This window comes from Homo sapiens, chromosome 16 (assembly GCF_000001405.40).
Source record: "Homo sapiens chromosome 16, GRCh38.p14 Primary Assembly".
NCBI classification, from domain to species: Eukaryota; Metazoa; Chordata; class Mammalia; order Primates; family Hominidae; genus Homo; species Homo sapiens.
Window position 1 is genome coordinate 54,911,939 of NC_000016.10, and position 27,294 is coordinate 54,939,232.

At 45.4% G+C, this 27,294-nt stretch overlaps 1 protein-coding gene and 2 long non-coding RNA genes across 9 annotated transcripts, besides 8 other annotated features; 1 reads left to right on the forward strand and 2 right to left on the reverse strand.

Moving 5' to 3' along the window:
- Positions 1 to 6,924: 6,924 nt before the first annotated feature.
- On the reverse strand, positions 6,925 to 16,948 carry CRNDE (colorectal neoplasia differentially expressed). 5 transcript variants are annotated; one of them, NR_110453.2, is made up of 6 exons: positions 16,832 to 16,948; positions 13,163 to 13,275; positions 12,663 to 12,749; positions 11,647 to 11,712; positions 8,360 to 8,472; positions 6,925 to 7,271 (listed from the first exon to the last, which is right to left on the reverse strand). It is a non-coding gene; the product is annotated as a colorectal neoplasia differentially expressed (long non-coding RNA). The 5 variants fall into 5 exon arrangements; NR_034105.4 differs by lacking the exon at positions 12,663 to 12,749; NR_170995.1 differs by lacking the exon at positions 12,663 to 12,749 and having other exon boundaries at positions 8,360 to 8,389; positions 16,556 to 16,948.
- Positions 16,633 to 16,832: a silencer, noted in NCBI's record as "silent region_7503". NCBI's record gives its function as "represses an Ori minimal core promoter by ATAC-STARR-seq in GM12878 lymphoblastoid cells {active_cell/tissue: GM12878}" and the evidence as "EXISTENCE:reporter gene assay evidence [ECO:0000049][PMID:35858748]".
- Positions 16,883 to 17,292: a silencer, noted in NCBI's record as "silent region_7504". NCBI's record gives its function as "represses an Ori minimal core promoter by ATAC-STARR-seq in GM12878 lymphoblastoid cells {active_cell/tissue: GM12878}" and the evidence as "EXISTENCE:reporter gene assay evidence [ECO:0000049][PMID:35858748]".
- Positions 17,473 to 17,542: a silencer, noted in NCBI's record as "silent region_7505". NCBI's record gives its function as "represses an Ori minimal core promoter by ATAC-STARR-seq in GM12878 lymphoblastoid cells {active_cell/tissue: GM12878}" and the evidence as "EXISTENCE:reporter gene assay evidence [ECO:0000049][PMID:35858748]".
- Positions 18,761 to 18,870: a silencer, noted in NCBI's record as "silent region_7506". NCBI's record gives its function as "represses an Ori minimal core promoter by ATAC-STARR-seq in GM12878 lymphoblastoid cells {active_cell/tissue: GM12878}" and the evidence as "EXISTENCE:reporter gene assay evidence [ECO:0000049][PMID:35858748]".
- Positions 18,927 to 22,547, forward strand: IRX5 (iroquois homeobox 5). 3 transcript variants are annotated; one of them, NM_005853.6, is made up of 3 exons: positions 18,927 to 19,509; positions 20,560 to 20,965; positions 21,139 to 22,547. In NM_005853.6, exons 1-3 carry the CDS (start codon positions 19,261 to 19,263, stop codon positions 21,933 to 21,935), a joined length of 1,452 nt encoding a protein of 483 aa, NP_005844.4. In that variant the 5' UTR covers positions 18,927 to 19,260; the 3' UTR covers positions 21,936 to 22,547. The 3 variants fall into 3 exon arrangements, with proteins under 3 accessions (NP_005844.4, NP_001239126.1, XP_011521111.1); NM_001252197.1 differs by having other exon boundaries at positions 19,261 to 19,509; positions 21,142 to 22,547; XM_011522809.1 differs by lacking the exon at positions 18,927 to 19,509 and adding an exon at positions 19,580 to 20,271.
- Positions 19,679 to 20,878: an enhancer, noted in NCBI's record as "CDK7 strongly-dependent group 2 enhancer chr16:54965529-54966728 (GRCh37/hg19 assembly coordinates)". NCBI's record gives its function as "activates an origin of replication core promoter dependent on BRD2, BRD4, P300/CBP, MED14 and CDK7 cofactors, with strong dependence on CDK7, by STARR-seq in HCT116 cells {active_cell/tissue: HCT116}" and the evidence as "EXISTENCE:reporter gene assay evidence [ECO:0000049][PMID:35650434]".
- Positions 22,581 to 23,332: an enhancer, noted in NCBI's record as "H3K4me1 hESC enhancer chr16:54968431-54969182 (GRCh37/hg19 assembly coordinates)". NCBI's record gives its function as "activates a minimal SCP1, AML or CMV promoter by ChIP-STARR-seq in naive H9 embryonic stem cells {active_cell/tissue: H9 hESC(naive)}" and the evidence as "EXISTENCE:reporter gene assay evidence [ECO:0000049][PMID:30033119]".
- Positions 23,333 to 24,082: an enhancer, noted in NCBI's record as "H3K4me1 hESC enhancer chr16:54969183-54969932 (GRCh37/hg19 assembly coordinates)". NCBI's record gives its function as "activates a minimal SCP1, AML or CMV promoter by ChIP-STARR-seq in naive H9 embryonic stem cells {active_cell/tissue: H9 hESC(naive)}" and the evidence as "EXISTENCE:reporter gene assay evidence [ECO:0000049][PMID:30033119]".
- Positions 24,076 to 26,733, reverse strand: LOC124903692 (uncharacterized). Its single transcript, XR_007065074.1, has 3 exons — positions 26,226 to 26,733; positions 25,832 to 26,117; positions 24,076 to 25,414 (listed from the first exon to the last, which is right to left on the reverse strand). It is a non-coding gene; the product is annotated as an uncharacterized LOC124903692 (long non-coding RNA).
- Positions 24,652 to 25,214: an enhancer, noted in NCBI's record as "H3K4me1 hESC enhancer chr16:54970502-54971064 (GRCh37/hg19 assembly coordinates)". NCBI's record gives its function as "activates a minimal SCP1, AML or CMV promoter by ChIP-STARR-seq in primed H9 embryonic stem cells {active_cell/tissue: H9 hESC(primed)}" and the evidence as "EXISTENCE:reporter gene assay evidence [ECO:0000049][PMID:30033119]".
- Positions 26,734 to 27,294: the final 561 nt, after the last annotated feature.

Genomic DNA, 27,294 nt, shown 5'->3' on the forward strand with positions numbered 1-27,294 from the left:
GAAATGCTTATGGGACAACTAGAGCTAGGAACATTCTTTCTCTTTCCTTCTTTCATATACTCCCAAATCCCATCTTTTTCAAAACATTGCCCAAAATATTGAACAGTCTGTCTCACAGCTGGCTTTACACAGGACCATGATAGCTGTACTACACAAAAACAAAACAAAAAATAAAAATAATGAAAGGAGACACATTTCTTGAGAGCGTTTCTCAAGAAATGTGCTCTTTAAGAGGAAAAAAGATGAAACAATATGAAAGAATTTTAAACACTTAGGTATTTCAGTCGTGCCTCAAAACCAACTGCTGGGCCCACACTGAACATGGATCTTTTTCCCTCTAGACCTAATTTTACCGGGTTCCAACTCAAAACATCCCCATCCCACCACAACTTAATTGTTTAAGCACTCTGGATGCCATTGACATGCTTTTCCTCTGCCATCACATGGAATCAGTCATCAAGTCCATTTATTTCTAGCATCTGAGCATCTTCCATCAATTCAGATCTCTCTCCTTCCCCTGGCCACTCTTAGCTCAGGCCAACAACCACTTGCAGAAACCTAACTGATCTCTCAATATCCAATCTTGCTGGCCTCTAATGCATTCCCCATGCTACCACCAAAGTGATATATTTAAAATGCAGACCTGGTCAGGTAAATGCTTAAAACCTTAAGGGCCCCCCCTGTTTGCAAGATGAAATGCAAGTTTGTTGGCCAGGCATATAAAAGCCCTTCACAGCCTTGCCTCTGCCTGTGCCTGCTCTCTTCTCTCTCCCATCTCTGCATACATCCCTCATGATCCTCTATACCGGACTACTCCAAGGTTCTCCATTGTCACTGGTCTTTGTTCCCCTTGCCTGGAGCCCTGTTCCTGCCAGGGATCAACCCCAATGCCCTCTCCTCTAGGAAGCCTTCCTTAACTTTGCCCACACTCCACCAGATTTAATTAGGGACTGGGCCCATGTACTACCATGATCCCTGGAGCTCCCCCTTATCATGCTGTGCTGAAATGATCTGTTTATGGCTTCATCTCTACAATAGGTGATAAGCTTCAAGTTGTGCCAGGGTGAAGACTGCATGCCATTTAACATTTTGTCCCCTGGCCAGAGCCAATGCCTACTTTGTTGAATTCAGGGAGTATTTTTATTCATATTTGATTCTCTGGATTTATCACAACGTTAAAACACAGCAGGTATGCATGAATAGCAATGAATAAACAGAACATTCCATTGGATAAAATCCAGTTCTTAGATGAACACGCTGATGCTTTCTACTTGTACCCATATCTGGTGCCAAGATGTTTGCATGACATGTACAAATGACAAGTAGACATTTATTTCTGACATTTATTTCTAATGTGAAGAAACTATTATTAAGAATGGGGTTGTGATACAGACGTTGATAGGGTGAATTTCCAGAAGTTGGGACAAGCATCTTCAAGTTGGCAGAATGTGCTTTGGAGTCAAAAAATAAGTTTAATCGTATCACTTACTAGCAAGTCATTTCACCTTGCTGGGACTCAGTTTCCTCATGTGAAAAACAAGTCTTCTCCAGCTTCAAAAGCCTGCAAGTGGAAGTGGCCTGCTATTTTTATGCACTGCATTTAAAAGTATTTTGAATAAAGAGGCTCCTGAAAAAAAAAATAGTGCATAGATGTGTCTTGCAAATGACACTTTAGTATACTCATATATAAAGTTTAAAGATGGCACATACGTTGAAGTAACTTAGCAATAAGTTATTCTAAAACATGTTGTGAAGAAAAAATATATAAACAATTATAGACAAAATTATAAAGTGCCTGGTGTTTTAAAAGAATGTACAGTGAATACAGCAACCACTGCAGTCAGGAAGTCTAGTGGTAACCAACCTATGATTTGCAGTATTTGTAAAATTTTTTTAAACTGTCTAAAATTGCACCATTTTCTTTTTCTTTTTTTTTTTAAACTACTACATAAACAGTAGTACAAGATGATTCCACAACGCTTTGTCATTATATGTACTTGGAACTTTTAAGTCACTGGTCTAATATAGCCCTTTCATAAAATACAATTCATTTTGGTCTCCTCATTGGCAATGCCATAGTGTTGAAGATATTGGAATCAATATTATTACATATAAAATCCTGAGTATCTTAATTTTAATGTCTTTTATAACTGCCTTGCTCAAATTTATGATTTACATAAATTTAAAGAAACTCTGATAGAAACTTACGTCTTCTGTTTTCCAGATTCCCAAGTTAATGGGGCCTTGGCTATATGAAAGCTTCCTATTTTAGCCTCTTAAAATTGGATGCACATTTAGAAAAGGCTCTTAGCTCTCTCTTATTATCCTGTACACTTTAACAAAGTAATGTACAGAAATACTTGTGTTTTCTTAGGTTGCTCAAAAGAGTTTCTTAATAAGGCCATAAACTCTATGTACAGTCTTACCAAAAGTCATTTGTGTGTGTGTGTGTGGAGACAGAGTTTCAATCTATTACCCAGGCTGGAGTGCAGTGGCGCGATCATGACTCATTGCAGCCGCGACCTCCCCAGGCTCAAGCCATCCTCCCATCTCAGCCTCCCAAGTAGCTGGGAGGTTAAAAAAATTGGTTAATATTTTTTTTTTCTGTATTTTGTAGAGACAGGGTTTCACCATGTTGCTCAGGCTGGTCTCGAACTTTTGGGTTCAGGTGATCCACCCACCTTGGCCTCCCAAAGTGCTGGGATTACAGGAATGAGCCATCATGCCTGGGGTCCCAAAGCCTGCTTTATATAACGTTTTATCTATATGTGATCTTACAGTTTTAATTTTGGAGCTCTTCCACAGGAGCTTTAAGTTCTTTTGTTATTTTAAGCCTCAGATAAACTAAAATTTTTTAAAGTATTATAGTCTTATAGATTATGCATTTAACAGACCAGAAAAGTATAAAATACCTTATTCCTTCTTACCAAATATAAAAGAAAATGTTTTATACACACACACCCACACACACACACGAGCCTCAGAACCTACGAGACTCTTCAAAGTAGTAGTTTTTCAAGGAAGGGTACTCATTTGTTTTTCATGGAAACCCACATATTTAAATTCAAAGATTACTATTTTTTTTCTTTTTTAAAAAGCATGCCTTATTTCTAGTGAATTCCTAAAACATAGAAAGCTGTTAAATACTTTTGGGCAATGACATACACTTTTGATGCCTCAAACTCTGAAACTGTAAACAAACCAGATTCCACCCCACTTCCAACAAACCATGTCCCAGTTGATTTCCCTCTTTCTATCTGATGTGCTCCTTCAAGATTCAAGCCTCTTGCTGGGGAGGGGAGGAGAGTGGTGACGGCGGGGGGGGGGGTGGTGGGGGGCGAAGGGGAGAGATTGGTCAATGGGTCTGAAGCTACAGATGGAAAAGAGGAGTAAACTCTGGTGTTCTATTGCACAGTAGGGTGATTGTGGTTAACAATATTGCATTATGTATTTCAAAATACTAGAAGATTTTGAATGTTCTCATCACAAAGAAATTATGTTTTTGAAGTGATACATAAGCTAATTATCCTAATTTGATCATTACACAATATGTAAATGTATTAAAATGTCACACTGTATCCCGTAAATATGTGCTATTGTGTCAATTACAAATAAAATGAAACTTAAAAAAAAAGCAAGCCTCTCATTCTCTGTAATGCCTACTCCATCAGCTGCAGTTCTTTTTCCTCATGAATTCTGGAAGCTTTGGATTTCTGATTATGCGTAATTAGATTGGTTTCTCAGTTTCTTTTTACTTTTTCCCATCCCTACCCCCTAGTCTAAGAGCTAATAGAGCTACACTAAGAGAACAGGTGCTGTAGTGCCTTTTTATTTTTATTTTTTTTAGACGAAGTCTCGCTCTTATCCCCCAGGCTGGAGTGCAATGGCAGGATCTTGGCTCACTGCAACCTCTGCCTTCCGGGTTCAAGCGATGCTCTGGCCTTACCCTCCCAAGTAGCTGGGATTACAGGCGCCTGCCACCATGCCCAGTTACTTTTTGTATTTTTAGTAGAGATGGGGTTTCACCATGTTGGCCAGGCTGGTCTCGAACTCCTGACCTCAGGTGATCCGCCTGCCTTGGCCTCCCAAAGTGCTGGGATTACAGGCGTGAGCCACAGCGCCTGGCCTGTAGTGCCTTCTTTATGATGGGTTCCCAGTGCTGGAAGTGCCAGAAGATGGGATGCTACAACACGGCTCAATGAATGAATGACTATTCTGGTATTCAAAGATTCAAGTGTACATCCTTTTACCCAGGTCAGTTTTAAGGGCAAAGACTATTTTATTATCTCGTGTCATTTATTTAACTATGGTCATGACCATAATGAGCTAAAGATTAAACTATATTCATGAGGATTGAAAGACTCGGGTTCCCTGGGCCTAGTATCTCACTCAAAAAAAAAAGCTAGATTTATAATATTGACTGCTGTTAGAAGGATCACTGTGACCAGCCCAATGTTTCACCCGTGGTAACTTTTTTTTTCTGTTTTTTTTGAGACTGAGTTTTGCTCTTGTTGCCCAGGCTGGAGTGCAGTGGCGCAGTCTTGGCTCACTGCAGCCTCCGCCTGCCAGGTTCAAGCAATTCTCCTGCCTCAGCCTTCCCAGTAGTTGGGATTATAGGCGCCTGCCACCACGCCCGGCTAATTTGTGTATTTTTAGTAGAGACGGGGTTTCACCAGGTTGGGCTGGTCTCGAACTCCTGACTTCAGGTAATCCATCCGCCTCGGGCTCCCAAAGTGCTGGGATAACAGGCGTGAACCACCACGCCCAGCCGGTAACGTTTTAAAGTCAATATACTTGGCCAGCACGGTGGCTCACACCTGTAATCCCAGTATTTTGGGAGGCCAAGGTGGGTAGATCACCTGAGGTCAGGAGTTCGAGACCAGGCTACCAAATCCTGTCTCTACTAAAAATACAAAAATTAGCTGGGCATCGTAGCACACACCTATAGTCTCAGCTACTCGGGAGGCTGAGGCACGAGGATCACTTGAACCTGAGAGGCGGAGGTTGCAGTGAGCAGAGATTGCACCACTGCACTTCAGCCTGGGTGACGGGGTGAGACTCCATCTCAATCAATCAATCAATAAAGTCAATATACATGATAGAAAATCAGAGCAAAAATTATCCTTGAAAATTCTTTCAGTGGGTCTCCCCAATAATATAGCATATATGGTTGTGTACTACCTCACTATGTCTCATAAAGCATAATATAACTTTGTATAATTTCCACCAGAGTTTGATGGAAACAGAGCTGTTTCCTCCATTCAGCATTGTGGAAAGTCATCATTTTAGGGGCCATGTACTAGAAAAAGATACTTCTTTTTCCTAACTGCATATAATTGAATTACATGAGCATTTTCTGCAACAGCACTCAACAAAGCATTGTAAAGATGAGTTAATTCTACAAATAAAAACTGCAGGCCTGAGGGTAGTGACAAACGCTAAAGAATCTATCAATTCAGAAACTATCATAATACATCCTTGAATGTCAAGTCTCCAGTAACACTGGAAAACTGCCCTCATCTTTCTCAAAGTTGCCTGTCAGCTTTGCAACATCTTTCCTAGAGTATATGCGTCTTTTATTCCTTTACATAGGAATTGTTTGCCAATAAAGCAATTTTTTCAAAAGTATTTCTCTAAAATAAGAATAAAGTCTAGATTGTGGAAAAATCCTTCCTTATATTTGGCTACAACTTATATTTTTATGTTTTAAAATCATAAACAAATCGTCTCAAAAAAAAAATACTCTACATAATTACCATATGACTCACAATTTTCACTCGTGGGCATCTGTCCCAGGAAAATGAAAGTTTATGTTCACACAGAAACCTCTACACGAATATATATATAGTACTTCTATTTGTAATAATCAAATACCAGATACAACCCAGAAGTCCGAATTGATGAGTGATGTGGTACACACGTACCACAGAATACTACTGAACTAAAAAAAAGGGAACAAACTATTGACACATATAAGCTGAATCTCCAGAAAATGATGCCGGGTGAGTCAAACCCCAAAAGGTTACACACTTTAATTGCAATTATATAACATTCCTATAAAGGCAAATTTATAGAAATGGAGAACATGCTAGTGGTTGCCAGGGTTAAGGGAGGAGTGAGATGGTCTGGAAGTAGGGGTGGATATCAAAGGGCGGTAATGAGGGATCCTCCTCATGATATAAATGTTCTCTGTCTTGACTGCATCAATGTCAGTATCCAGGTTGTGATGCTGTGCTATACAGTATATTGCAAGAAGTTACTATTAGGAGAAACTGGGTAGTGTTCAAAGATCTCTGTATTATTTTGTACAACTGCATGTGAACTTAACAATCTGAAAAAATAAAGTTTGATCAAAAATAAAAAAGGAAATCTCTCTAGCCTAATAAATTTACTTTATGACTCTGAGATCTAAGCTTAAGAATTCATCATAGCCCTTGGATTCTTTGTCATCATCAGCCTTTGTGGACCTTCCCAGTTCCTTCCCTAAGCACTCCTTCTCACCAGATGTACCCCTTCACAGTGTCCACACCAAAGAGGCTAGAGACCTGTCTATACAAAAGAATTCTTCCATCTTCCTATAGCTGCTACAAAGGCCACAACAAGGTATTTCCCAATGGCAAGGTAATCTATCATTACTCAATTACCCAAATGCAGGGATTCTGTGAAGGAAGTGGATGTCAGCCTTCTTTACAGAGATGAAACTCTGCCATTTAGGGCAACTTTTTCTTGTATATGAAATGAGCCAATAGATTTGTTTGAGGAAGAGATATTCTATTCCAGAGGGACTATTACAGAAAATTAAAGTACACATAGGAATATCTTTCAAGTCTTTTTCCTCCCATAAATATGAGTCATATTAGAAAGTTATTTTAAACCTAGTCTAATATCTGATTGTCAAAAGAATGACTCTGATAGAAAAAGGAATTTTTTTGAACCTTTTTTTTTCAGGTATAAACATTCATTCAATCCAATAAAGACATTTTAGAAAAAAGTCAACCTATACAATTTATTTTATTTTTCCTATACCTTGGCTAAACAAAATATATTTGGTGATACTGTAAAATACTAAGCATTTTCAGTAAAACTGGCAATCAAATACAGCTTAACCTTCTTCTGCGTGACAACTGAGGATTTTAATTGGAAAAGTATTATAGTCTATAAACAGGAATACCCAAAACATATTTAAACCACTCGAGCACTTTGATTTTTCCATGTTCTTTGCATCTAGATTGAAACACATCACAGGAAATTTCAAAGACCAACGGCTGAATCTAAAAGAAAAAAAAAATCCATTTAGTTGCTATGATCATTGTCACCATCAATCCCTAATATCTTATACTTCACTGGTCACACTTAACTCTGCTATGCTGTTTTATGCTTGGGAGAAGACAAATTACTAATCAATTATGTATACTAATTTAAAATGCTACCTTTAGGAGGCATTTTAATAACTTAGTAATAGGGGTGAAGTGCTTCCTCTAACTGCTTACGTGAAAACACCTTCAATAACACATTAGCCAGGATGCACTGAACATTTGGGAACAATTAATGCTATAGTCTACATAAACTGTCAAATTGCCCCCCCTAAAGTAGTGGTACAATTCTGCAACTGGTTGAGGTCACATGGAAAATAGAATTATATGCTAATTTGTTCCCATATTAAGTTATCATAAAAGGTCAGACCAAACATAGTAAAAGGAATCCTGGAAAAAAAATTAAGTAGATTGGTATGTACTGTATCAAAGTAAACTGTTTATCTTAATAGATACAAATACAAGAAAATGTTAAAGCCAGGGCATTTTCTCCTTTTTAAAAAGAAATGTTTTAGCTAACCCTAGGCAATGACTTGCACGATTTAAAAATACTTTATAGGAATAGTTTTTCCCTAAAGGAGAACAGGGGTAGGGTACTTTTTTTTGCTTTCAAGCAGAGAAAAGCAATGGAAAAGGGCATAATATCCAAAAAGGAAAAATTTCTCCAGAAAACTATTTCCTCTACTTTACATGTTTCTTAAATTTAATTCACATAGTTCTACACATGAACTATAAAATGAACACACAAACACACATGCTTAGTTTAGCTGAAACTAAAGAGGGGTCAAGAGATGTTGACTATAATACATTTATTATTTTACTCCAAACTAAGAAATAATTTGGAGGGGTGATGGAGAAATGAAATATTACAGCATACGAAATCACAGGTCTAGTATTTTATAAAGCATCCAGTTTATTGCAGGACACAACTAAGACAAGTGACAGAGATCATCTGTCACACCCTTAGGCAAACTCCTGAGAAAAAAATAAAACAGTAATTTTGTGTCCTAGAGACTATCCTTTTTTCCACCAAAAGATATACTTACATTTTTCATTTCAACATTTCCAGTGGCATCCTACAAGAGAACTAGCACTCACAATGAGTCATCTGAATTTTCTTTAAATCGTAACTCATTTTTAATTTCTAAACAGGTTTTACCTATTGATTTAAATAAGATAATTATTAGTTACCATAAAATGAGTTAGGTTCACATGAAATATCAGTTTGACATCTTATTCAAATACTTACTTTCCTGCTATTACCAGCATTGTTTATCCTATTTTCCTTATCAAGTTAGATATGGAGATACCTAGGCATAAAATCTTCAGACACCTTGATGGACTAAAAATAAATTTATTTTTATAAAAAGTATAAAAATTATTATCATTCTTGTTTTGAAGGATTTTATGTATTGGGAAGTAAATCCATAAGAAGTTGAGAATTACATTAAAAGAGGGTAAAAGTCTGACAAAAATGAAAACATGCATTGATGCCTAAAAAATCAGGACTGAAGTAAATTAATCTTCATTCCCACTGAAAGCAATCTTGATGTCCAGAGACTGAGAATTATTCTACCATAAAATACGGCACATTAAATACTACAATAGCCCATCTGAAATGTCTTAATATAATTGATATCATCTACAAATGATTGTACATATATTTTAATATTCATTACTGGAGATTCCAATGCAAAATATATTGAAATTGTAAAAATATTAAGTCAGTTAAAGACCGCATCAAATCAGTAGCTATTCTATGACTAAAAGTAAGACTCAAAATAAGATTTGAAAAAAACCACTAAAAGCAGGGTCAAAATATTTGGATGTTGCTTATCAGAAACAACACTATCATTCCTGATGGTTTGCTTATAAAATTCTATATTCCTACCAGCTGGCTGAAAAGAATCAAAAGCTTCTTACAACCAGCTAAAAAGAAAGACTTTACCATGCCCCTTGAAAAAGCTCATTTTCACGTTACTCAGGCTTCATTATGCTAAATCAATATTCGTTTAGTCACTGGGGTTATTGACATATTTTAAAATAAAAGTATACCCTTCAGCTACTGCACTCATTACAGGTAATTTGTCTTGTCAGAGAGCAGGGAATATTATCCTAGTCTTTCAGGGGCTGACAGCCCATGAAAATACCTCCCCATGGTTACAACTGTAAATAATTTTAAGGTAAAATATTGAAAAATCAATGACTGTTTCCTGCAATCTGTCACAAACAAATCAATCATAATCTGTACTGCCAGAGAGTATGATTTGAAGGAGATGGGAGCAGATGTAATTCTTGGCTGGAATCTCTCATTTCAAAATCACTTCACATAATGGTGTCATCATTTAAACACTTAACAGTCAGTGCAACTGCCACTGTAACATCTAGTTGGACAAAACCACAAGGAGGGGGAGGAGAAAATGCCATCACTATTATGTTAACAAACATTTAATTTAAATGGTTGCTGCACTAGTAAATTTCTGCAGAAAACAGTTTTACCCGCCCCCTTTCACAGTTCCAAATTAATCAAGGATGCTTTTCTATAATCTGATGCTTAGCAAATTAGCTCATGATTCAAATTTTGCCCTCTTGAAGCACATATACCTTTTATTTTAAAAGTCCATTATAGAGAATAAAATTTGGAATATATAAGGTATTTGAATTGCAGAACACCCCTCTAATTCTGTTAATATAGCAAAGACAAAACAGTATCATATACATCAAGATCATACTTTTAAAGTAAGTTTAAAGGTCTCAATTGCCCAGATATTAAATTTATATTTTCCTTCTATTAAAAAATATTACATTTCAATTTTGTAATATTGTAACATATTTTAAGATGACCAGCAAGACCTAGTCAATTTGAAAATACCCTTGCATTCCATACACAAGCTATACCATAAGTAATAACCCAAGTATATGATGTGTAAAAGTTGGTGAAGGTCATAATACTGAATTTTTTTGCAAATGTAAACTGCTTTCCAAGTAATCAGCACCATTTTTTACTAGACTACATTTTAATCACTTCCTTAGCTGCTTACAACCTCTACTTAGGCATAAATAAAAGAATCTGAAATTGGTATATTTCCCCTTCCTGCTGTGTTAACCAAAAATACTATTTGACTTAAAGATCAAAGAGTCTTTTTCCTGAAGGTTTTTGTTTTTAAATGTACACTAGTTCTTTTAATGAAAGAAACTGGTTTTAGCCACGTTTCTAACCAATTTCCTAATTATATAACTAGACACCATGAAGTCCTTCATTGTTTTATTAATATTCCTCCCCAGATATAGTTCAGGGGGCAGATGTTTTTAAGCCAGTCAAATTTAGCGTTGGGGGTTGGGGGAAGGTGGTACATCAGCATTAGTGAAAGGGGCAGATATTTTTGATGCCTAGAAAAGTATATTATTTTCCTTAAAAAGGAAAACAGATATAAATACCATTACAAAATTTCAGCCTGTATAAACATTCTTAGATATAGTAATTGGCATATTATAAAAAGGTTTTACTCTGTTTTTAATTTAGCCTGCATATTCAATGTGCCTACATAGCATCAGAGGATAGAATCTTTTCTGATAGATACAAATTTAACCCAATTTTTGTTCTTCAAGAATCTTTCATTCTTAAACACCACTGGGTTTTTGAAAATGAAAAAGCACATGGGTAAATTATCAAAGAAATAATCCACAATAAAAGGGAGCCCTCCATTCCATGTGAATCCCTGCAACAGCTGCAAAGTAAGCAGCAAGCCAACCTAGGAAAAGATTACGTGAAAAGTGGAAAGGCACCTAAGGCTCTGAACCAGGAAAAGAACCCCTGTGCAGGAGCTCCCGGCCTCCAGGACACTACAATGCCCCAGGCTGGGCCCAACTACTTCTCAGCAGAGCACTGGAACCAGCTGCCAAACACCAAGTCTTATACTCAGAGTTTGGTCATGTCTAGCAGTAAATCATCCAGCAGAAAACACATCCCCCCAAATGAAGGCAACAAAGAACTGGGAGGCGAATGAGGACGGTTAAGCAACATGCTAAATGCATGCACGTCAACCACAAACTAAAATGACATCTACAAGAACTGTGCAGGACACCTTCACAGATCTAATTCTCAGAAAGAAGCTATTTTAAGGGTGCTGAGTATGGCTAAATGATATTTCTCAGCTCTACCAATGCAGTCCATGGCACTAGAAGAGGCAGGCTCAAAAACTTAGCAGAGGAAAATAAAATTGTTTCCATATACCAAATTCAAAGAAATTGCTGTCTACTGCACAAAGTTCTTACATGTAATAAAGATTCAGGATTACAGAGGAAAGTATTCTTTTAAAAGAGATAATATTACCTCCTTATCTTCAGAATCTCCTCCTTCCAATAGCCAGTACAGTAGCTCCATTATGAATTGCAGACTCTTAAAAAGAAAAACAGGAATAGTTAGCTTCATCTTTTGCACCACTTCCTTCCTTCATGGAATTACAATTTAATTACCAATACTCCATTTGATTTTCTTCCTAGATGATACACTTCTCAAAAAGCATGCTCTTTAGCCATTTCTACTAGAGAACGTTTAATACAACCTTCTCAGTTAATCAACCATAACCCATTATTGCTGAAAGGACATCTTTTCTTCATATTTTCAAGAGTGGGAACCCCCTACATCTATTTTATATAGAAGGAATATAAGAATTTTAATACATGTGAATACCTCTAATATACATGAAATATGAATCTTAATAAATGTGGCCGATAACAGATATAAAACTCAACCAATCTGCCTATGTGTTTAGATTTTTCCTACATTTATCCTTAGGAGGAAAAAAGAAATTACTTAATCCTCTTATCTTTTAAATTCAACAATTTTATACATGGTTTAAAACAAAGTAAAACAAAACAAAAAACTAAGCTTAAAGGCAAACAAAAAGGAATCAGATTACTCACCACCTAACATTTTCTTTACATTTGTGTTGTGTTTTCTAACTCACTGTAATGCTTTAGCTCTCAGTCATACGTGAAACCCAATTTCCATAAGCAATTAATAATAGGAAAACTCAAGGATGTTACTTTAAAATTATTATATATCACTTCATATTAGTTAAAAATCACTGTAATGCCTCGGAAAGTATTCAGAGAAACATTTATTTTATTGGCGGCTATATTAACTACTGCCTTCTGTAAAATTAGCTTTTTTTTTTGTTATAAGAACCATTTTTTTTACTTAATAAAATGTTCTGTGTCAATAAATTCAGTTCCTTGCTCTGACAACTAGACAAATATTCTGCAAAACAATTCTTTCTCATAGCTTTTCTTACCTGCCTATATTCAGCAGCCTCTATTTGATGAGAAATGACAAGTTTTACATACCTGTGTGTACTCTGTCACTAAAAAAGTTTGGTACCCATGACTGGAACTGATATTCCCACTAAATTTATTCTTAAAAGAAATAGGTAACTGAAATGATTAAAAACTGTAATTAGGCATAAACAGGTTATTTCTCTTAAATAATAATTCTATTTGTATAAAATATTACAAACTTCACTTTGATTTTTATGAAAAGCACTGAGTTTATAAATTTTACTGTCCAATTATACCATTAAAAATAAATTATTCAAAGTAATTCCATGATAAATAGTAAGTAAAAATAAATTATTCAGTTTTATTTCATGAACCTAAAATTTATCTATTTACTGTACTCTTGTTTAATGCATTAATAAAATTTTTAATAATCAAAGGCCTCAAGTAGCTGACATTCTCTACATTTTGTACTTAGCCTCTATTATCAATAATAAATACTTTGGTAAAACCAACATTGATGCTATTTTGGATCGACTCCACATACAAGCAAACTGTGTGCAGACACTCACTTGCAGACCAGCCTTGGGATGAATTTCAGCCAACATTTGGAGGAACCCCTTAGTTCAGAAGTGAACTTAGCTGACAGCATCCAAATGTATTATGGAAGCATCACACTTAACACCTGCACCGAAAATGGAAATGATTCTGTTTAAGGAAACACAGAAAACTAAGTAATACTTTTGGGATATTAGATTCAAATATCTAATTTTCTCGAAGGTATCACTCCATATTATGGCAAATAAACAAATAAAAGCTGTATCAAGGTATGGAATATCATTAGCCTGAGAAAAGACTAGAAAAATGGATTACGTAAATGACAACTGCAGGAGAAAATTATATTCTCTTCTCCTGAACAAATGTTAAGTGCATCCTTACTAATAAAGACTTAAACTCAAACTACATTAGAATATACTGGTTTTCAATTTTGAAGCATCTAAGTTAATTTGCTAAGCTAAATTGGTGCTTAGGTACACTACAGCTATAAAAACACTGCAGATTTATGCAGAAATAAGCCTTCAGCATCACACTTCAGAGCAGTGCTATGAAAGCAAACCACTCATTATTGAAAAAGGAAAAAAGAATTCCTAGATTTGACATGTTCTTAGAGTTGCACCAGCTGCTATTCTATTAAGAAAAATTATTCCCTATAAACAGCTAACAAATATACCAAAAAGATGTTAAAATATAGGAGTCAACAAAAAAGAGATATTGAAGAGAAACATATAAAGATAATGAAATACTACCACTCAAAACAGGCTGTACTATCCCAGAGTTAAAACATTATTCCAAAGTATGATGCTATGTTCATCATCTATTTTGAAGAGCATATTTAATTCACTCAGGATTACATGATTTAATTTACTTTCCTGTTATCAACTAAAGAACATTTTTTCCTAAGATTTCTAGAATGTATACACATAATAATAATTATTGAGTTATTCGTTAAAATGGATAATTAGTTCATATTCCTATTTCATCTCTTTTAATGCAATATATCAAATTTGAAAATAACACATGGATAACAGCATAAGAATGCTCATCATAGCTGCCAGAGGGGAAAAAAATTTTGATTAGGGGTGGTATGGGAGATAAATAAAGCAATTATCTCAAAATTAATGGTCTTGTTTTAGTTTTAGCAAACAAATCTACGTAAGTCTTTCTTTTAGTTTACCATGTAATTCTAACCAGGTAATTATCCTTGGAGTCAAGAATGAGCTGTGACTCTACACCTGGCTTTTCCGATCATATGCCTATGGTCTCCTCCACTTTCATTTCCTCTTTTTACAGTGACTTTTAATATTAAAGAAAAACATACACACTTCTTACATACACACTGATAGACAGCCAGCTTCCAGGAAATCCTAAGCTACAAAGAGAAGAGAAAATCTTAATGCAATACTTATGTTAAAAGGTATTAGGTGCTGGGTAAGCCAAGGGTAATATCATCAACAGCATCCATCTTGCCAGTGTTTTTGCATTCCGAGATTTGTAGTAAAGAACAGCAATATTATTTTAGTGGTCACCCAGGTTATGACTCAGATCCTTAAACTAGTAAGAGACTAAATGCACTATCTTCACTTACTCATCAATTCAAACACACAGAACAGTATTTTGGAAGAAATAAAACAGTTTTCTTCTATTTTTAGAAATAAAAACAAGGCATTCCGTAAACATTGTATCTAGGTATTTAATGATATGAAAAAGAAATTGTTTTAGATCATTAAGGCACCCCAGGAGACTGTTTCTTTTCCAAAAAAACGAAATAGCATAAATTTCTCATATATTTACCTCTTATTATATTCCTGTTTCTGCACATTAAGCATGCCCTCCTCTACAGACTTATTCTGAACACTAACAAGTGTTTGCTTAATAAAATACTGCTCTATTTTATGCTTTTCTTTCAAAATTAGAAACCATTATTCCACAAAGGTAGAGCACAAAGAAAGCCGACACAGGCATTGCCAAAAAGCCACAAGTAGTATTAGTACATGCCAGAACACTTAACATTAAACTATCATTTCTCTCTAAAACTTCTGTTGCTAAAGTGCTCACAAAATCTGGAAGCTCAAAGACAGGTTTCAAGTGCAATTAAATTCTCCAAAAGCAAAACTGTACAAAAATATGCCGCCCTTCTTATGTCACCATTTATAGACAACATTTTCTCAGGATCTTAATTAAGATAACGATGCACACCTGTGTCAACATTCTCTGGCAAGACAGCCTTATCAATCATAATCCTTTAAGTACACTCCAAAACAGCAAAGCGATATGACAGAAGCAATCTGTTGCCTTTCCTGGTGTTGGTGTTGTGTCTCTCCCACAAGAATGATGAGATCTTTAAAATACAGCAGACCTACTTCTATGAGTCTTTAAAGTTTTAACTGTAAATAGCTATTAACACTAAATAAACAGGAATAACCTCTTTTGCACTTGACTGAAACAATGACAACTGTACAGCCAAAACTTGAAGAACAAGCTCTAGGGCCATGTCTTGACAATACAATTGCGAACCGTACTTTAAAGCTTTAAATTTTAAGAGTTATGCGAAACTGGATCGGTGCAGACATGACAAACCAATAAACCTTTAGGAAGTTTCAAAATGAGAATATTTAATAGTCCTACGTCAAAAACAACCCGAGCAAACTTATCCCTAGTGTAAGTTTAAATGTTGGGAAAGACACAAATTCAATAGAAAGTAAGGGGAGAAAAAGTCTTCTTGGTAACCTAGGATGGGAGGGATACAGATCCCACCTCTGCTGGAAGAGAAAGCTTCAGAGTCAAGACACCAAACTACCGCTAACAAGTATGCAGCTTTCCAAACGGAAAAGCTAATGAATAGGAAGTAAAAAGGAGGGGAGAGTGAAACAAACGGTCACCACTACCCAGATAAAAAGTTAAAACCTCGTGTTTACCAGCAAACAAGTGAACGCTTTCATATAAAAACGGAGAAAACCCGCCAGATGCTATCTGCATGCCGTCTGCCTGCTAATCATGATCGGCCGTTCCCTTTCTCATATTAACACAATTCTATCTCAGACGCCGGGCGGCCGTGGCCAGCTGAGCAGCAGAGCCATCAATGTGCAAATAAAGCAGAAAATAGAGACATCCTTAAGAAATGAGTCTTAAATTTGGCGTAGAGCGGAGGTGACAACCACGGCAACAGAACCATACATTCTAAATGCCTCAATATCTTGCAGGAGTCTCTCCAGCCCCTGACACCAAAAAGAAGACAGTACAAGAAAAGGGGTTAAAAAAATTAAAAAAACAACCAACAAACAAGCCACGGGGCGGGGGCGGGGGCGGGGGCGGGGGTGGGGGGAGAAAGCGCGGGACTGCCGGAGTGGCAGGATGATGTAATGAGGATGTCTGTGTGACAGACTCGGGTTCTCGGTGGCACAAACCTCCAAGGGCTCTACTCCGGAAAGCCGTGTCCCGGACGAGAGCCGCGGCGACGAAGGGAACAGGCGTGGACAGAGGAGCCACGCCCACGCGCGCCCGCCCCGAACCCCGACACCCGGAGAGGCTCGACCGGCGCCGACGCGGCCCGAGGCCCAGGCCCTAGCCCACGGGACGTCTGGTCGGGCGCGGGGCACCGCCGCGTCCGTTCGGCCCACGAGGGGACACGACTAGAGGGGCGGACGGCGCGGCCAGAGGGCCTGGCCCGGGCGGGGGCTCACCTCTCCTCCGCCGCGCGGGCGCGCGGGCCGCGGACGCTCCCTCGTGGCTGGCGCGAGCCCCCGGCGGGCGGCGCGCGCGGGCCGTTACCGACCGTTAGCGCCAGGGGCTGCGGCTGCGGCGGGCGGAGCCGGGGGCGGGCGCTGAGGGGCCGTGGGGCCGCAAGAGGCGGGAGCGAGGGGAGCAGGGCGGGGACGCTGCTCCCAGGAGCTCCCGGCGACGACTCGGGCCTACTGCGAGCCCGGGAAGAGGCCGCCGGCGAGGCCGCCACTGGCCGGCTGCGCGCTCCCCCAGGCTCGGGCCGCCTGGGCCGCTCCGCCTCGCTTAGACATTGGCCGGCTGGCAGCCACCTCGGCCCCACGGTCCCCGCCGCCGCTGCAGCCAGCTTCCCGTCTCCATGACAATAGCGCGATCGAGACCCCGCCCCTCCCCGCCCCTCTGGCGCCGAGACTCGGAGGAAAGCGGGGTTACGTCACCAGGGGGCGGAGCCCAGGGAGGCCAGCGCCCAATCATAGGTGAAGGAGGTGTCAGGCACTGGGCTGGGCGGACCCAGGGGCTCTCGGAGAATGTAGTCTGAACCGCTCAGGCCTCTTGGTGGGCGGTGTCTGGGGGAGGGGAGCAGACGGAGGGGAGGAGCCAACGCGCGTGCACGAGAGCGCAGCACCGAGCGGGTGCCGGTGCGGCGCTGGGTTAGTGTGAGATCGCGAAATAAAGTACATCTCGCCCGTCAAAGTCAATGCGAGAAACTTTGTATATAGTTATGCTTCGGCTTGCGTGTGGCCCCATTATGCGAAGTTCCCGATATCCCGAGCTTCCGCGGCGTGCCCAAACCTGTGCCATCTTCTGTCCTGGTTCACCAGCGCCCCTGTCTGTCCCAGAGTTCGAGTGCGTCCGTGGCTTGTGGTGGCGGGAGGTGGAGAGAAGAGGAGAGGGTCTGTTTTGTATTCTAACTGTGTGGCCGTCGTGGGCAAGGGCTCTGCCTCTGACTCAGTTGTGTGTGTTTGCTTCGCCAGCGCCTCGCTGAACAAACAGTGGTTGGGTTGGGCACTGCTCTGCCCAGTGTTTGCAGTGGAGCGTGGGCGGATGCGAGAGTGCGTGCGAAGGGGAAGGCGACTTAGTTAAACAAAAGGGAAGGGGACCCGCACCCTCCACCACCACCGACTTGGCGGTGCGAGCTGCGTGCGGTGGGAAAACCGGGAGAAAGAGGCTGCGAGGCGTGGGAGTGGAGCTGGGGACGGTCCCGAGATCTCCTCGGGTGTAGCTGATTCTCTGTCTGGCAGTTCTTGCCCACCACCCCTACTCTAGAAAAAGGCTACCCCGGTAGTTCCAGGAACCAGTGTCTTCTCCCTCGCCGTCCGGCGGGGGGTCGGTAGAAGGAAGGCGAGGCGGAGACGTGCAGACGTCTGAGGCCTGTCTCTCGCCCACCTGCTGCTGCCGGCGCAGAGGGGCAGTCATCCCGGACTTCCTGCGCCCTGGGCGCGGGCCATCCATCGGCTCTCCCAGAGACTTTCATTCCGGATCTCCAGCTGGCTCTCCGGGCCCCCTGGCTTGGGGAAGACGCCAGAGGGGGGTGGGCAACGAATGGCCTCGGAGCCCAGCCTGCCGGAGAACAAGAAATCCGCTAAGTCCGCGATCTACTGTGGCTAGGAGAGCGCAGAGCGTTCGCCGGCGCACAGCCCGCGGCCTCGTTCCCTTTGTGCTTCGGGGCGGCGGGACTGCCACTCCGCCCCGAGTTAGCAGAAGAGGAAAGTTGGAAGAGATCGGCGCTCCTGGGATGTGATTGTCATCCTGGGGCCGGCGCTCGAGAGTCTGAGAGAAAGCGAGAGAGAGGGAGAGACCGGGGAGGGGAAAAGGGGAGGCAAAGAGGAGGGGTGAGAGGGGGGGCCGCGGAGGGGAGGCGGGCGCTAGGGAGGGGCGAGAGGAGCGCCAGCGAGCGGGAGAGAGAGCCGAGGAGGAAGAGGGAGAGGGCGAGGCGCGCCTGGCGGCCGGGTTGGCTGCGGCCGCCCAGAAGCTCCTGCCAGTCCTCCCACCGACTACACCCCGGGAAGGAGGAGCTTCGGGCGCGCACAAGGCGTCAGAATCCTCAATTTCCAACTTAGCATCTTGGCAGGACCTTTGCAAAGGCAAAAGCAGAGCCCCCCGGTGCAAAGAGCGAGGGGAAAAAAGAGAAAGCAGCAAGGGAGGGGAGGGGAGGGGAAAAAAAGCCCAGCTGGGGCGAGCGAGGCGCGCAGAGGAGCGGGCGCGGCGGTCGCAGCCGGAGGCGCGCGGGAAGCCAGCGAGGAGGCGCCGCGGGCCGGAGCCCCGGAGCCGGGGCCAGAGGAGCGGCGGCCCAGGGCAGCCAGAGGCCAGGTGCCCGCCCGCTCGCCCTCGCAGGGCGCCGCCCGGCTCGTTGGCGGCCGCGGCGCGGCGCGCCCCATGCCCGTGTGTGGCCATGTCCTATCCGCAGGGCTACTTGTACCAGCCGTCCGCCTCGCTGGCGCTCTACTCGTGCCCGGCGTACAGCACCAGCGTCATTTCGGGGCCCCGCACGGATGAGCTCGGCCGCTCTTCTTCGGGCTCCGCGTTCTCGCCCTACGCTGGCTCGACTGCCTTCACGGCGCCCTCGCCGGGCTACAACTCGCACCTCCAGTACGGCGCCGACCCCGCGGCCGCCGCCGCCGCCGCCTTCTCCTCGTACGTGGTAAGTGAGCGGGATCCGCGGCGGGCGAGGGGCAGCAGGGGCCGGGCGGGAGGACGGGGGCGGAGGGGGACACGGGCCTAGGCGCCAACACCGACCTCCCCCGCCAAGCTTCGCGGCCCCTTCAAACTTGGGCGATTGTCTCCGCCAGCTTCGCCCAGGCCTTGGACTCAAGAGTTGCTCGCAAAAGAGAGCCGCGTCTTGCTCGGATCGCTGAGCTGGCGGGAAGGGGTTCTGTGGGGAGAGGTAGCTGCAATTAAAGAGCAGCATTTGGTGTAAACGTAAGCTCCGGGCTGCCCTGCAAATTTTATATTTTTGGTTTTGCCATTTTGGAAAAGTAGTTCAAAAGAAATAGACTCGAAATTTGAGCAGAAGCGTGCTAAGTCTATGTAAATGTGTTTGGCCTAGCCTTTAATTAGTCCTCCAAAATGTTGCAAATCCGTAATCCTATCTTCGCAATCCGATTTGGGAGTATTAAATTTCTGAAAAGTCGGTCGAGCTGCGGTGCATCCGGGATTTTTCGGCCGGGTTGTAACTTCGGTCTGGGGTAGTATTTTTGGAGGGTGGGAGTGCGTGGGCATGGCTCAGCTTTTTGTTTGCATTTCTTAGCTGTTGAAAAAAGAAAAAAAGAGCCTTGACTTCCCTTGTTTTCCCCCCTTGCGCCCAACGTGCGTCCGCTCCCCCGCCGAGCGCGGAGTCGCCTCAGTTGCCCAGGCCTCTATCTGCATGGAGGGCCGGGCCGCCGTGGCCAGATCTGCGCACGGGGTACGGACGTGCCCGGGCAGATGGGGGCCTACGGGGTGACACCGAGGCCGGGACAGCTTCAGGGGCCCCAGAAGGACCTGACCCAGAAATTGAGGTCCCCGCTGCCTTCTGAGGAGGGGGAGGAGTTGCTCCTAGGTCTGAACCCCGCCAGCCTTGCCCCGTAGGAAGCTGGAGTGCGGGCCTCGTCCACCCACAGACCCCGGGGAGCGCAGGGAAAAGGGTGCTTCGGTCGTTCCGATGGCAGTGGAGACCACGGTCCACACTCACCTCTCTGCGTCTCCACCGCAGGGCTCTCCCTACGACCACACACCCGGCATGGCGGGCTCCTTGGGGTACCATCCTTACGCGGCGCCCCTGGGATCGTACCCTTACGGGGACCCAGCGTACCGGAAGAACGCCACAAGGGACGCCACGGCTACCCTCAAGGCCTGGCTCAACGAGCACCGCAAGAACCCCTACCCCACCAAGGGCGAGAAGATCATGCTGGCCATCATCACCAAGATGACCCTCACCCAGGTGTCCACCTGGTTCGCCAACGCGCGCCGGCGCCTCAAGAAAGAGAATAAAATGACGTGGACGCCGCGGAACCGCAGCGAGGACGAGGAAGAGGAGGAGAACATTGACCTGGAGAAGAACGACGAGGACGAGCCCCAGAAGCCCGAGGACAAGGGCGACCCCGAGGGCCCCGAAGCAGGTTGGTGGACATGGGAAAGGGCGTGTTGGGCGGGAGTAAAAAGGAAAAGAGAGGCCTGGAGGGGGCGCGCACGGGGCCTGGAGGTTGGGGGCAGGGGTCCCTGCCTTTGCGGGCGGGAACCGGGTCCCGCCGCGCGGCCTCTGCGCCCCTGACAGCCTGGGTTTCGCCCGCAGGAGGAGCTGAGCAGAAGGCGGCTTCGGGCTGCGAACGGCTTCAGGGACCACCCACCCCTGCAGGCAAGGAGACGGAGGGCAGCCTCAGCGACTCGGATTTTAAGGAGCCGCCCTCGGAGGGCCGCCTCGACGCGCTGCAGGGCCCCCCCCGCACCGGCGGGCCCTCCCCGGCTGGGCCAGCGGCGGCGCGGCTGGCGGAGGACCCGGCCCCTCACTACCCCGCCGGAGCGCCGGCGCCCGGCCCGCATCCAGCCGCGGGCGAGGTGCCTCCGGGTCCCGGCGGGCCCTCGGTTATCCATTCGCCGCCTCCGCCGCCGCCTCCTGCGGTGCTCGCCAAGCCCAAACTGTGGTCTTTGGCAGAGATCGCCACATCGTCGGACAAGGTCAAGGACGGGGGCGGCGGGAACGAGGGCTCTCCATGCCCACCGTGTCCCGGGCCCATAGCCGGGCAAGCCCTAGGAGGCAGCCGGGCGTCGCCGGCCCCGGCGCCGTCACGCTCGCCCTCGGCGCAGTGTCCTTTTCCAGGCGGGACGGTGCTGTCCCGGCCTCTCTACTACACCGCGCCCTTCTATCCCGGCTACACGAACTATGGCTCCTTCGGACACCTTCATGGCCACCCGGGGCCCGGGCCAGGCCCCACAACCGGTCCGGGGTCTCATTTCAATGGATTAAACCAGACCGTGTTGAACCGAGCGGACGCTTTGGCTAAAGACCCGAAAATGTTGCGGAGCCAGTCTCAGCTAGACCTGTGCAAAGACTCTCCCTATGAATTGAAGAAAGGTATGTCCGACATTTAACGCGGGCTGCGTCGGTCCCGGACTTTTCTAATTTATTAAAAACATGGCCTTGGCAGTTATTTTTCCATCACCGAGAGAGAGAGACAGAGAGAGAAAATAAACTACCCCTCCTATTCAGAAGTTTATAGTTTATGGAGATGGATGACATAAAAATGTAAACATCTCCACACAAAAAAAAAAATGTCTTAACCAACCGAAAAGAAAAATTAAAAAAGGATTTGTATTAAATCTTATTCTGTATATTTAATGTAGCATTTTTGTATTTAAATTGATAATTCAATATCTTTGAAGTAAATTATGAAATCAAGACACCTGTACAGGCATTTAATGTTTTTTTGTAATATAAATATATACATTTGTGTTTCCCCCAAAACTGTTTCATAGTTAAAAAATACAAGTTTAATTTAATTTTTTACACCTATTGATTCTGCTGGGTATGAGCTAAAGTATTACAGAAAGGAAACAGGTTATACTCTTAGATTTAAAAAGTGAAAGAAACTGCAGGCGCCTTTGTAAAATGCAAAATATTTAATTAAAAGAGATTTTAACATAATGAGAGCCACTCATTACTTTTTAGAAGCCTCAATAAACTGTCCATTGCCTTGGTCAAAAGGTGCAAACTGCAACTTTTTTCAAAGTGGGGATTGAAAGGTTCCACAGACCTTCAAGTGTACCAGGGGAAAACCATAATTAGGCTGCAAGCCCCGGGGAACCTGGCCCTGCCCAGAATGCAGATCTGGATCACTGATGCGGGCTGTTTGGGAGAGATTGGACCCTGGAGGAAGGAGAAGAGAGACCCAAGTGTGTGCCCAGAAGGGAGAAAAGATGGCAAAGCCAGCTAGGGACACGCACCACTCGAGCGCCATCGCTTAACCTAATTACTTCCAATCAGTGTCGTGTTTTATGCAAAGCAATCAGCTGGTGAACTTTGCTAATGAGTTCGATTTTATGCCGGATTTAGCCCTTATTACTATTTCAAGGGTGCTTCGGGCTAGTGCGGGCGGGAGCATTCAGGGATGCCAAGGGGAAGACTTTCCCAAGTCACCGTCTTCTTCTCTGCCCCTTCAAATTTGCGCATTGATCTCTTCTTTGGATTTGATTAAATTATGAACGTTCCATCTCAGACCGTGCGGGTGGCGGGCGGCCCAGAAGTGCCCGCTCAGCTGCGGGGCTGGGGTCGAGCGGGACGGGCGAGGGGACGGTTTCCCCCTTTCACAGGTAGGTGTCACACTTGTCCTGAATTTCAAGCCTGCACTTTGCAGAGTCGGAGATTGCAGAGTGGGCGGAAGGGGAGGAGGGAGCGCCACAGCCACTTGGGGGAAGAGAGGGGAGCCCCTGAAAGGATCCCTCCCTCTCACAACGGGCCTCTTTTTGGACAAGTGGCCTTCAAAAGTTCGAGGCCATTTACCTAGATAACGAGGCCGTTGTGGACTCCATCAGGCTTGTCGTCGCTTTAGCACTTTTCCCAGCTCAGATGCAAGAGTCCGAGTAGCTACAAAAATATTTCTGGGGTTTTATTTTCTCGTTTTAATCCCACATACTTCATCTCAAAATAAAAAGTCAGGATGCATTTGAATCCCTAATGAGGAAGAATCCACGCCCTGTCCCCGAGGCCGGCCAGCGATGTGGGTTCGGGCTTGGCTGCGGTGCTGGCGGCTCCATTTTGCACCCGAGATCTGGAGCCCGGACGCGTTTTACTTCGTGGGAAATTTTCAGTGGTTGGGGGAGGGACTAGGGGTTGTTATAGCAAAAACATACCCCAGCGACGGGAATTAATTTGCTCTATTAAACCCAAGCCTGAGTGTAGAGAGGGAATGTGTTTGCACATAACACCGGCTTAATTAGACTAAATCAAAATGCACATATTTGCATTTCTACTGAAGATGACTTTAACCTTAACTCGGTGTTTTAAACCCACCCCGAAGTTTCACTGGAGTTGCTTTTGCTATTTCTTTTTTTTAGCCTGCCACGGGGCTCCTTTATAAGCTTATTCGAATTTAAACAAGTTTGAAAGCTGCATTGTCCAGATGTTTTAGCAAACAGCAGTCGACTTTAGGGTTTAAATTAGTGAGAAAATTCACGCAGGGAAAATGGTTTCAAAGCTGGAAGTGTGAATGATTAAATATGCATGAGACGATCGTATTTTATTTTGTCCCTTTAATTATAAATGATTTTTTTAAACAATTGAATTCCAGAGATGACTTGCCTTCCCTCCTTTCCCCCCTACGCCGCGCCTCATCCCCCTCCACTCTCCCCTCTCTCCCCCCACAGCCTGGTTCACAATCAGCTTTCCCCCCTGTTGAATATGCAGCCCCAGGAGTCACCTTTTCTAAAAAAGTCAGAAGAATAGGCCAGTCCCCTTCTCTTAAGGGAGAGTTTAAGGACGACATCAACTCGGCGGGGTTTTGGAAGCATTGGCCCTAAACCCTGCCCAACGATTTTAAAAAGAAAATTACAGGCCTCCCAGTGTTCCCGGGAATATGCAAATGCCAGGGCGCAGGCCTCCCAAATCAGACCGCGAAGGCTCGGGGCTGCGAGCCGAATGCCCGCCGAGCTGCCTGGGAACGGGAACCGCGCACCCGGGAACGCCAGGCGTTTCTCTTCATCCAGGAACGGCGCGGAGAGCCTCCGGCTGGGGAGCTAAACCGCTGGGGACTCCGCGGCTGCTGCCTGAGTCGCTGTCCGCTGCCCGCATCCCTTCCGCCCTGGGCCTCTGCACGGTCTGCGGTTTTCTGTGCGCACTTGGTCTTCAGTACTAGCACCCAATTACGTCTGGGTTTTTCTTCTTTACAGAGCTGGGTTTCGGTGGCCACCAGCTTTTCTGGTGTTTAGTGACTCTGAGTTTGGAGGTGGCCTACCAGGCAAACGGGGATTCAGGGCATTTAGGAAACGTCTTCCGCGCTTAATCCCAGAAGTGGTTGCGTGTCCGTACGATCCCAAGTTCCTCCCGGAGCCTCTTCTTTGCTGCGTCTCGGGCCCTCCAGCAGGCGAAGCCTCTTAGACGCGCTGGGGAAACTTCCGGCGTGTTCGGGGCTCAGGGTTTCTTCTCAGGCATGGATTGGGGCGCAGAAGTTGCGCGAGGCAGCGCCTAAGGTCCCGAGGTGCTGAGACTGTGCTGGCGTTTGCCACCTGCCCCTGGCTAGGCCGTTTCTGGGCCCCAAGAAACGCCTACCTTGGCACTTAGGGACCAGAAGCCTCTGGATGTCTAGCAACAGGGGTCACGGGATCACTGCGTGGGGTCTCTGTAAGCAGTCCCCTGAGGCAGTGCAAAACCGGAAACCTGCTCTGTGCGGGGCCGAATCAGTTCATGGGATTTGGGAGTCAGGAGAGACGTCTTTCTCCTCCCAGCTCCTACACTCCGGGTACCAAGGCCCGAAATGCCGTTCCCCCAGCCCGGGTGCGGGGTCTGCAGCAAGGCCTCCTGATTTGCAAACCCCTCCGGGCTGCTTATTCCTGGTGCCATGCGCAGCCCTTGGGACCTAGAAGATTGTGGGGGAGGGAAGGTCGCACGTGCGGTTTTGGCACCGACCGTGCCTCCTAGTCCACCTGTCCCCCACAGCTAGCTGCCAACTCGGACGGAAGCGCGGAACAGCGCAATGCAAACCGCCCAAAGTGAAAGGAATGTAATTGCGCTCCCATGACAGAGCCAGACGCGGATGCAGTTTAGGAAGGGCGCCGCCTACCGGCCCCTGGGAGCCATGCGATTCGAAGGGAGGGGGACCTAGAGGAGACCCCCGCTATCCCCCCACCCACCGTGGGGCCTTAGCTTTGAACTCCGGCCCGGACAAACTTAAACTGCTTCGCCACCCCAACGCGCCACAGCCCTGGACCTAAGACCCAGTTAGCATTGGGAATTTGGGGAGCAGGGCCCACGACTAGAACAAAGTTAACCCTACCGGTTCCCGCCACGGCTTCGGCACATTTCAAAAAACCAGGCGCAGGCAATTGAGAAATACGCTGCCGGCTGAAACAGCCTGCGGGTGGGGGCTGCAGCCGTGCGCGCCCGGCAGTTCCCGTCCCGCATCAGGTGTACGCACTTCCACTCCTGCGGGCCCTTCCACGCTCCAACTCTGGACCCCGCGCAGTTTTAATCTGCGGTTTGGGAAATGGGGGTGCTACCGTGCAACCGCGCCCTGAAAGACCGTTTTGGTCTTAAGAGCTTTTGGCCTGTGGGGTGGACATCTGTAGAAAAAGGAAAAACAAAACAAAAGTAACCTCCCATTGCGTCGAACCCTCCTATTCCGAAAAGAACTTTAATGAGGTTGGCTTGGCAAGGCCTGCGGTGCTTACCTCGGCTTCGCCCTACCCCGCCAGAAGCCCTCATAGGTTGTATCCACTGGTCTCCCCCAGGTGCAGGGTTATTAGGGGAAAGGGGGGCGCGCCCTCGGGCTGGATCTTTGTTTCCCTCGTCGCCCGGTCATCAAACAGGAGGGAAATCGGGCCCGACTGGGACCTTGCTGCCCGCCTTCCCCTTAAACTGGCTAAAGCTTCAGGACTGTCCCTAGACCCACCCCGCGGGTCTTCCTTTGTGTCCAGGGCATAGCCGATCTCCTTTTCGTTTTCACGAGAACTGCGACTTGGGCCTCGGGCACTAGGCGAGCCCAGGTTGTGGCCTAACAGCAGATCGCCTCGGGAGCTTGGCTGCAGCTCTGCCCGCACCTCCAGCGCTGGGCGGCCTCTCGGGGCCAGTGGGGATCTCTGGCCTCGTGTAGGCCACGGGCCCCAGCCCTGGGTCCCCAAGGCCGCTCGCCGGGCAGCGCTCGTTTCCGGCACCGGGACGAGCCCAGCGCGCTCAGACACCACTTTCCCGGTGAAATCTGCTTTTATTTGCTCCGAGCAAACCTCGGGCTCTCAGCGCTCCCGCCTGATGGATGCAAATGTAAATGTGCACTTATTTAATTGGATCAGGCCCCAAGATAAAAGAGATAAACGGCTCCCCGCTTGCTAACTTATTTTCCTAGGCATGCAGCGCCGCGTGGAGGGGAAGCTAATGAAGGAGCAGCGCGGTGCTGGGCACTCGAGCTCTCCGCAGCCGTGGCACGCTGGCCGGCCGGCCCCGCGTAGGCTGCAACTCCTTGTCGACCTGTTTTGCACTGGCCCTGCCCGCTAGATAGGGTCCCCCCGGGACCTTCTGTGCGCCAGGCTGGGAAAGTGAGAAGGCGTGGTGTTGGCATTGCGCTTGCAAATACCCCACCCTCGCCACAACTTTCTCTTTTCTCTATCTCGGTTTGTCCCCCTCCCCTTTCTTACCCAAGTCTCCACGCTTGGGTCATACTGGCTGGGCCCATTCCATAGAAAATCCTTGCTATCTTCTTTCCCAGTCATCTTCTTAATTCCCCAGGCGTCGTCTTCCACTTCA